This window comes from Homo sapiens, chromosome 6 (assembly GCF_000001405.40).
Source record: "Homo sapiens chromosome 6, GRCh38.p14 Primary Assembly".
NCBI classification, from domain to species: Eukaryota; Metazoa; Chordata; class Mammalia; order Primates; family Hominidae; genus Homo; species Homo sapiens.
This window is the reverse complement of record NC_000006.12, coordinates 98,082,427-98,092,003: the sequence shown is the minus strand read 5'-3', so window position 1 is coordinate 98,092,003 and position 9,577 is coordinate 98,082,427. Positions and strand designations below refer to the sequence as shown.

At 40.5% G+C, this 9,577-nt stretch overlaps 1 annotated feature.

Moving 5' to 3' along the window:
• Nucleotides 2,829-3,329: an enhancer, noted in NCBI's record as "H3K4me1 hESC enhancer chr6:98536551-98537051 (GRCh37/hg19 assembly coordinates)". NCBI's record gives its function as "activates a minimal SCP1, AML or CMV promoter by ChIP-STARR-seq in naive H9 embryonic stem cells {active_cell/tissue: H9 hESC(naive)}" and the evidence as "EXISTENCE:reporter gene assay evidence [ECO:0000049][PMID:30033119]".

The following is a 9,577-nucleotide window of genomic DNA, read 5'->3' as shown; positions in this document are numbered from 1 at the left end:
CAGAGGTATCTACTATAATACTTGCATGTTTAATCCCATCTTGGGTTACCTTCTTGAATGAACTAGCAAGTGGCAATGAGTGATCATAGCAAATGAGCAGTAAGACAAGGATTTGGGACTGGTTAATCCACTACCAGGCAGGTGAAGAAGATACCATCCTGGTTAGTATGTGGGGGATGGGTAGTACTTGGCACAATATGGTGGCTCAATTGCTGAAGATTTTGCCAATGGTGACCTGGGAAAATGTCCTGGTGGAGAAACTGCCATGGCAGGTGTAATAATTTTGACATCTAAAAAACAGGTGGGAAACAGTGTCTACAAATCAGAGTGAGATGTCCTTTAGAAGAACAATGAGAGATGGAGGGTTGTTAACAAGGACTTTATAGTTAAGTGTGTGAATCAGAGAGTCTCAGTTGTACCTTATAAAGAGGCCCTTATCACCTGTAATGGAAGGGTAAACACAATTAAGTGATAGGCTGAAGATTATTGTCAGAGGCACAGAGCTCCAGAAATGCTTGAATGCTTAGCTAAGACAGATTTGTTATATGAACATGAGGGCGCTGGCGGGGAAAATCTATGGTCTTGAAAAAATAGGACAGGGAAATCTGAGTGGATGGCCCTGAGAATGCTGGCTATTCAAACTGCTGGTTGCCCATGGAGTCTCAGGTTTGCAAAGGAATGTCATCCTTCTTAGTGAGAGCTAGTGCTTCTACTGGTCAGGAAGATTAGGTTCTCCTCATAAGGTAACAGGTACCTGCCCCTAGAAGCTGTACCCATCTCCTTTTCTGCTTGCCAGGTCACTAATTAAGGTTAAATCCAAGCATAACCCAGCTGGTGATATGCTAGGGCTGATAATGGAGGAAACAGACTATACTCAAAAATTTGCAAAACTTGTTGTCATATACTTACAAGAGCAAATGGGGGAACTCCTTGAATTAAATTTTGAGGGTGTTTGATCAAGGAGAACAGAATTTTTAAAAAATTTACATTATTATGGGTACATAACACTTGTATATATATATATGTGCATATTATGTTTTGATATAAGAGTACAACGTATAATGATCAACTCAGGGTAATTGACATATCCATTACCTCAAGCATTTATCATTTCTTTGTTAGGAAGATTCCAATTACATTATTTTAGTTATTTTCAATATACAATAAATATATTGTTAGCTATAGTGCTCCTATATTGTGTGGGTGGGAGGAGTTAAAAGAGGAGTGGTTAATACCACATGCTCTCACTCACCAGTGGGAGCTGAACAATGAGAACACATGGACACAGAGAGGGGACATCACATACCAGGGCCTGTTAGGGGGTGGGAGGCAAGGGGAGGGAGAGCATCAGGACAAATACCTAATGCATGCAGGGCTTGAAACCTACATGACCAGTTGATAGGTGCAGCAAACCACCACGGCACATGTATACCTATGTAACAAACCTGCACATTCTGCACATGTATCCCAGAACTTAAAGTAAAATAAAAAATGAAAAAAGAGGGGATGGTTAATGGGTACAAAAATACAGTTAGATAGAAGGAATAAGATAACACTAGTGACAAGAGCAAATGAGGGAACTCCTTGAATTGTGTTATCTTATTGCTTCTATCTAACTGTATTTTTGTACCCATTAACCATCCCCACTTTCCCCCACCCACACACTACTCTTTCTTGCCAGTGGTAATGATCATTCTACTCTCCATCTCCACGAGTTAATTTTTTGCATAACTCCCACATGTGATTGAGAACATGTGATATTTGTCTTTCTGTGCCTGGTTTATTTCACATAATATAATGTCCTCCAGTTCCATCCACATTGCTGCAAATTACAGAATTTCATTCTTTTATATGGCTGAATAATATTGCATTATGTATAGGAACCACATTTTATTTATCTGTTATTCATCCACTGATGGATACTTAGGTTAATTCCGTAACTTGGCTATTACGTAGAGTGCCGCAACAAACATCAGAGTGCAGGTATCTCTTCAATATAGTGATTTCATTTTTTTGGATAGGTTTCCAGCAACAGGATTGTTGAATCATATGGTGGTTCTATTTTCAATTTTTTCAGGAATCTCTATACTCTTCCCCATAGTGGCTGACTAATTTACATTCCCACAAGTACAAAGATTTCCCTCTCTCCATGTCTTCACCAGCATCTGTTATTTTTGGTCTTTCTGATAATAGCTATTCTAACAAGGGTGAGAAGATATATCATTGTGGCTTTCATTTGTGTTTTTCTGATGATTAGTGATGTTGAGCATTTTTTCATATGCCTGTTGGCCATTTGTATGCCTCCTTTAGAGAAATGTCTATTTACATCTTTTGACCATTTCTTAATCATATTTGTTTTTCTCCCTATTGAGTTGTTTGAGCTCCTTATATATTCTGGTTATTAATATCTTGTTAGATAAACAGATTGCAAATATTTTCCCCAATCTGTGGGTTGTCTGTTTACTGTAGATTGTTTCCTTTGCTGTGCAGAGCTTTTTAGCTTGATATAATCCCATTTGTCCCCTTTTGCTTTGGTTGTCTGTGCTTCTGAATTCTTACATAAAAAATCTTTGCCCAAACCAACACTCTGGAGCATTTCCCTAGTGTTTTCTTCTAGTAGTTTCATAGTTTCTGATGTTAGATTTGTATTTAATTCATTTTGATTTGACTTTTGTACATGGTGAGACAAAGGGGTCTAGTGTCATTCTTCTGCATATGGACATCCAGTTTTCCCTGATCATTTAGCGAAGAGAACAAAGCTAGAGGCATCACATTACCTGACTTCAAATTATACTCTGGAGGGGGGAGCCAAGATGGCCGAATAGGAACAGCTCTGGTCTACAGCTCCCAGCGTGAGCGACACAGAAGACGGGTGATTTCTGCATTTCCATCTGAGGTACCGGGTTCATCTCACTAGGGAGTGCCAGACAGTGGGTGCAGGACAGTGGGTGCAGGACACCATGCACGAGCCAAAGCAGGGTGAGGCATTGCCTTACTCGGGAAGTGCAAGGGGTCAGGGAGTTCCCTTTCCTAGTCAAAGAAAGGGGTGACAGACGGCACCAGGAAAATCGGGTCACTCCCACCCCAATACTGAGCTTTTCTGACAGGCTTAAAATATGGCGCACCAGGAGATTATATCCCGCACATGGCTCAGAGGGTCCTACACCCATGGAGTCTCGCTGATTGCTACCACAGCAGTCTGAGATCAAACTGCAAGGCGGCAGCGAGGCTGAGGGAGGGGCACCGGCCATTGCCCAGGCTCACTTAGGTAAACAAAGCAGCCGGGAAGCTCCAACTGGGTGGAGCCCACCACAGCTCAAGGAGGCCACCTGCCTCTGTAGGCTCCACCTCTGGGGGCAGGTCACAGACAAACAAAAAGACAGCAGTAACCTGTATAGACTTAAATGTCCCTGTCTGACAGCTTTGAAGAGAGCATTGGTTCTCCCAGCACACAGCTGAAGATCTGAGAATGGGCAGACTGCCTCCTCAAGTGGGTCCCTGACCCCTGACCCCCGAGCAGCCTAACTGGGAGGCACCCCGCAGTAGGGGCAGACTGACACCTCACAAGGCCGGGTACTCCTCTGAGACAAAACTTCCAGAAGAACGATCAGACAGCAGCATTCGCGGTACACAAAAATCCGCTGTTCTGCAGCCACCACTGCTGGTACCCAAGCAAACAGGGTCTGGAGTAGACCTCTAGCAAACTCTAACATACCTGCAGCTGAGGGTCCCGTCTGTTAGAAGGAAAACTAACAAACAGAAAGGACATCCACACCAAAAACCCATCTGTACATCACCATCATCAAAGACCAAAAGTATATAAAACCACAAAGATGGGGAAAAAAACAGAGCAGAAAAACTGGAAACTCTAAAAAGCAGAGCACCTCTCCTCCTCCAAAGGAACGCAGCTCCTCACCAGCAACGGAACAAAGCTGGATGGAGAATGACTTTGACAAGTTGAGAGAAGGCTTCAGATGATCAAACTACTCCAAGCTACAGGAGGAAATTCAAACCAAAGGCAAAGAAGTTGAAAACTTTGAAAAAAATTTAGACGAATGTATAACTAGAATAAGCAATACAGAGAAGTGCTTTAAAGGAGCTGATGGAGCTGAAAGCCAAGGCTCGAGAACTACGTGAAGAATGCAGAAGCCTCAGGAGCCGATGCGATCAACTGGAAGAAAGGGTATCAGTGATGGAAGATGAAATGAATGAAATGAAGTGAGAAGGGAAGTTTAGAGAAAAAAAGAATAAAAAGAAACGAGAAAAAGAAAAAAAGCCTCCAAGAAATATAGGACTACGTGAAAAGACCAAATCTACATCTGATTGGTGTACCTGAAAGTGACCGGGAGAATGGAACCAAGTTGGAAAACACTCTGCAGGATATTATCCAGGAGAACTTCCCCAATCTAGCGAGGCAGGCCAACATTCCGATTCAGGAAATACAGAGAATTCCACAAAGATACTCCTTGAGAAGAGCAACTCCAAGACACATAATTGTCAGATTCACCAAAGTTGAAATGAAGGAAAAAATGTTAAGGGAAGCCAGAGAGAAAGGTTGGGTTACCCACAAAGGGAAGCCCATCAGACTAACAGCAGATCTCTCAGCAGAAACTCTACAAGCCAGAAGAGAGTGGGAGCCAATATTCAACATTCTTAAAGAAAAGAATTTTCAACCCAGAATTGCATACCCAGCCAAACTAAGCTTCATAAGTGAAGGATAAATAAAATACTTTAGAGACAAACAAATGCTGAGAGATTTTGTCACCACCAGGCCTGCCCTACAAGAGCTCCTGAAGGAAGCACTAAACACAGAAAGGAACAACCGGTACCAGCCACTGCAAAATCATGCCAAATTGTAAAGACCATCGAGACTAGGAAGAAACTGCATCAACTAACGAGCAAAATCACCAGCTAACATCATAATGACAGGATCAAATTCACACATAACAATATTAACCTTAAATGTAAATGGACTAAATGCTCGAATTAAAAGACACAGACTGGCAAATTGTATAAAGAGTCAAGACCCATCAGTGTGCTGTATTCAGGAAACCCATCTCACATGCAGAGACACACATAGGCTCAGAATAAAAGGATGGAGGAAGATCTACCAAGCAAATGGAAAACAAAAAAAGGCAGGGGTTGCAATCCTAGTCTCTGATAAAACAGACTTTAAACCAACAAAGATCAAAAGAGACAAAGAAGGCCATTACATAATGGTAAAGGGATCAATTCAACAAGAAGAGCTAAGTATCCTAAATACATTGCGCCCAATACAGGAGCACCCAGATTCATAAAGCAAGTCCTGAGTGACCTACAAAGAGACTTAGACTCCCACACAATAATAATGGGAGACTTTAACACCCCACTGTCAAAATTAGACAGATCAACGAGACAGAAAGTTAACAAGGATACCCAGGAATTGAACTCAGCTCTGCAACAAGCAGACCTAATAGACATCTACAGAACTCTCCACCCCAAATCAACAGAAGATACATTTTTTTCAGCACCACACCATACCTATTGCAAAATTGACCACATAGTTGGAAGTAAAGCTCTCCTCAGCAAATGTAAAAGAACAGAAATTATAACAAACTGTCTCTCAGACCACAGTGCAATCAAACTAGAACTCGGGATTAAGAAACTCACTCAAAACCGCTCAACTATGTGGAAACTGAACAATCTGCTTCTGAATGACTACTGGGTACACAATGAAATGAAGGCAGAAATAAAGAGGTTCTTTGAAACCAACGAGAACAAAGACACAACATACCAGAATCTCTGGGACACGTTCAAAGCAGTGTGTAGAGGGAAATTTATAGCACTAAATGCCCACAACACAGCAGGAAAGAACCAAAATTGACACCCTAACATCACAATTAAAAGAACTAGAAAAGCAAGAGCAAACACATTCAAAAGCTAGCAGAAGGCAAGAAATAACTAAAATCAGAGCAGAACTGAAGGAAATAGAGACACAAAAAACCCTTCAAAAAATTAATGAATCCAGGAGCTGGTTTTTTGAAAGGATCAACAAACTTGATAGACCGCTAGCAAGACTAATAAAGAAGAAAAGAGAGAAGAATCAAATAGATGCAATAAAAAATGATAAAGGGGATATCACCATCAATCCCACAGAAATACAAACTACCACCAGAGAATACTACAAACACCTCTACGCAAATAAACTAGAAAATCTAGAAGAAATGGAAAAATTTCTCGACACATACACCCTCCCAAGACTAAACCAGGAAGAAGTTGAATCTCTGAATAGACCAATAACAGGATCTGAAATTGTGGCAATAATCAATAGCTTACCAACCAAAAAGAGTCCAGGACCAGATGGATTCACAGCCGAATTCTACCAGAGGTACAAGGAGGAAATAGTACCATTCCTTCTGAAATTATTCCAATCAATAGAAAAAGAGGGAATCCTCCCTAACTCATTTTATGAGGCCAGCATCATCCTGATACCAAAGCCAGACAGAGACACAACCAAAAAACAGAATTTTAGACCAATATCCTTGATGAACATTGATGCAAAAATCCTCAATAAAATACTGGCAAACCGAATCCAGCAGCACATCAAAAAGCTTATCCACCATGATCAAGTGGGCTTCATCCCTGGGATGCAAGGCTGATTCAATATATGCAAATCAATAAATGTAATCCAGCATATAAACAGAACCAAAGACGAAACCACATGATTATCTCAATAGATGCAGAAAAGGCCTTTGACAAAATTTAACAACCCTTCGTGCTAAAAACTCTCTATAAATTAGTTATTGATGGGACGTATCTCAAAATAATAAGAGCTATCTATGACAAACCCACAGCCAATATCATACTGAATGGGCAAAAACTGGAAGCATTCCCTTTGAAAACTGGCACAAGACACAAATGCCCTCTCTCACCACTCCTATTCAACATAGTGTTGGAAGTTCTGGCCAGGGCAATTAGGCAGGAGAAGGAAATAAAGGGTATTCAATTAGGCAAAGAGGAAGGCAAATTGTCCCTGTTTGCAGATGACATGATTGTATACCTAGAAAACCCCACTGTCTCAGCCCAAAATCTCCTTAAGCTGATAGGCAACTTCAGCAAAGTCTCAGGATACAAAATCAATGTGCAAAAATCACAAGCATTCTTATACACCAATAAGAGACAAACTGAGAGCCAAATCATGAGTGACCTCCCATTCACAATTGCTTCAAAGAGAATAAAATACCTAGGAATCCAACTTACAAGGGATGTGAAGGACCTCTTCAAGGAGAACTACAAACCACTGCTCAATGAAATAAAAGAGGATACAAACAAATGGAAGAACATTCCATGCTCATGTGTAGGAAGAATCAATATCGTGAAAATGGCCATACTGCCCAAGGTAATTAATAGATTCAATGCCATCCCCACCAAGCTACCAATGACTTTCCTCACAGAATTGGAAAAAACTACTTTAAAGTTCATATGGAACCAAAAAAGAGCCTGCATTGCCAAGTCAATCCGAAACCAAAAGGACAAAGCTGGAGGCATCATGCTACCTGACTTCAAACTATACTACAAGGCTACAGTAACCAAAACAGCACGGTACCGGTACCAAAACAGAGATATAGATCAATGGAACAGAACAGAGCCCTCAGAAATAACGCCATGTATCTACAACTATCTGATCTTTGACAAACCTGAGAAAAACAAGCAATGGGGAAAGGATTCCCTATTTAATAAATGGTGCTGGGAAAACTGGCTAGCCATATGTAGAAAGCTGAAACTGGATCCCTTCCTTACACCTTATACAAAAGTTAATTCAAGATGGCTTAAAGACTTAAATGTTAGACCTAAAACCATAAAAACCCTAGAACAAAACCTAGGCATTACCATTCAGGACATAGGCATGGGCAAGGACTTCATGTCTAAAACACCAAAAGCAATGGCAACAAAAGCCAAAATTGACAAATGGGATCTAACTAAACTAAAGAGCTTCTGCACAGCAAAAGAAACTACCATCAGAGTGAACAGGCAACCTACAAAATGGGAGAAAATTTTCGCAACCTACTCCTCTGACAAAGGGCTAATATCCAGAATCTACAATGAACTCAAACACATTTACAAGAAAAAAACAAACAACCCCATCAAAAAGTGGGTGAAGGACATGAACAGACACTTCTCAAAAGAAGGCATTTATGCAGCCAAAAAACACATGAAAAAATGCTCACCATCACTGGCCGTCAGAGAAATGCAAATCAAATCCACAATGAGATACCATCTCACACCAGTTAGAATGGCAATCATTAAAAAGTCAGGAAACAACAGGTGCTGGAGAGGATGTGGAGAAATAGGAACACTTTTACACTGTTGGTGGGACTGTAAACTAGTTCAACCATTGTGGAAGTCAGTGTGGCGATTCCTCAGGGATCTAGAAGTAGAAATACCATTTGACCCAGCCATCCCATTACTGGGTATATACCCAAAGGACTATAAATCATGCTGCTATAAAGACACATGCACATGCATGTTTATTGCGGCACTATTCACAATAGCAAAGACTTGGAACCAACCCAAATGTCCATCAATGATAGACTGGATTAAGAAAATGTGGCACATATACACCATGGAATACTATGCAGCCATAAAAAATGATGAGTTCATGTCCTTTGTAGGGACATGGATGAAATTGGAAATCATCATTCTCAGTAAACTATCGCAAGGACAAAAAACCAAACACCACATGTTCTCACTCATAGGTGGGAATTGAACAATGAGAACACATGGACACAGGAAGGGGAACATCACACTCTGGGGACTGTTGTGGGGTGGGGGGAGTGGGGAGGTATAGCATTAGGAGATATACCTAATGCTAAATGATGAGTTAATGGGTGCAGCATGCCAGCATGGCACATGTATACATATGTAACTAACCTGCACATTGTGCACATGTACCCTAAAACTTAAAGTATAATAATAAAAATTAAAAAAATAAAAAAAAAAAGCAAGACCCAATGGTAAGCTGTCTCCAAGAGACCCATTTCACATATCATGACATCCATAGACTCAAAATCTTGGGATGGAGGAAAATCTAACATGCAAATGGAAATCAGAAAAAAGCAGGGGTTGCAGTACTAATTTCAGACAAAATAAACTTTAAACCAAGAAAAGTTAAAAAAGAAAAAAAGACAAGGGCATTGCATTATGGTAGAAGTTTCATTCAACAGGAAGACCTAACAAACCTACATCCAGCACAGGAGCACCCTGCAACTTCTTAGAGACCTAGATAGACTTAGACTCCCACACGTTAATAGTAGGAGACTTCAACACTCAACTGACAGTACTAAACCGATCATTGAGTCAGAAAATTAATAAAGGTATTTAGGACCTGAGCTCAACATGGGACCAAATGGATCTGACAGACCTCTACAGAACTCTCTACCGAAAACCATCAGAATATACATTCTTGTCATTGACATATGACACATACTCTAAAATCAGCCACATTACCAAACAGAAAACAATCCTCAGCAAATATAAAAGAACTGAAATCATACCAAACACACTGTATGACCACAGTGCAGTAAATAGTAATTAAGAC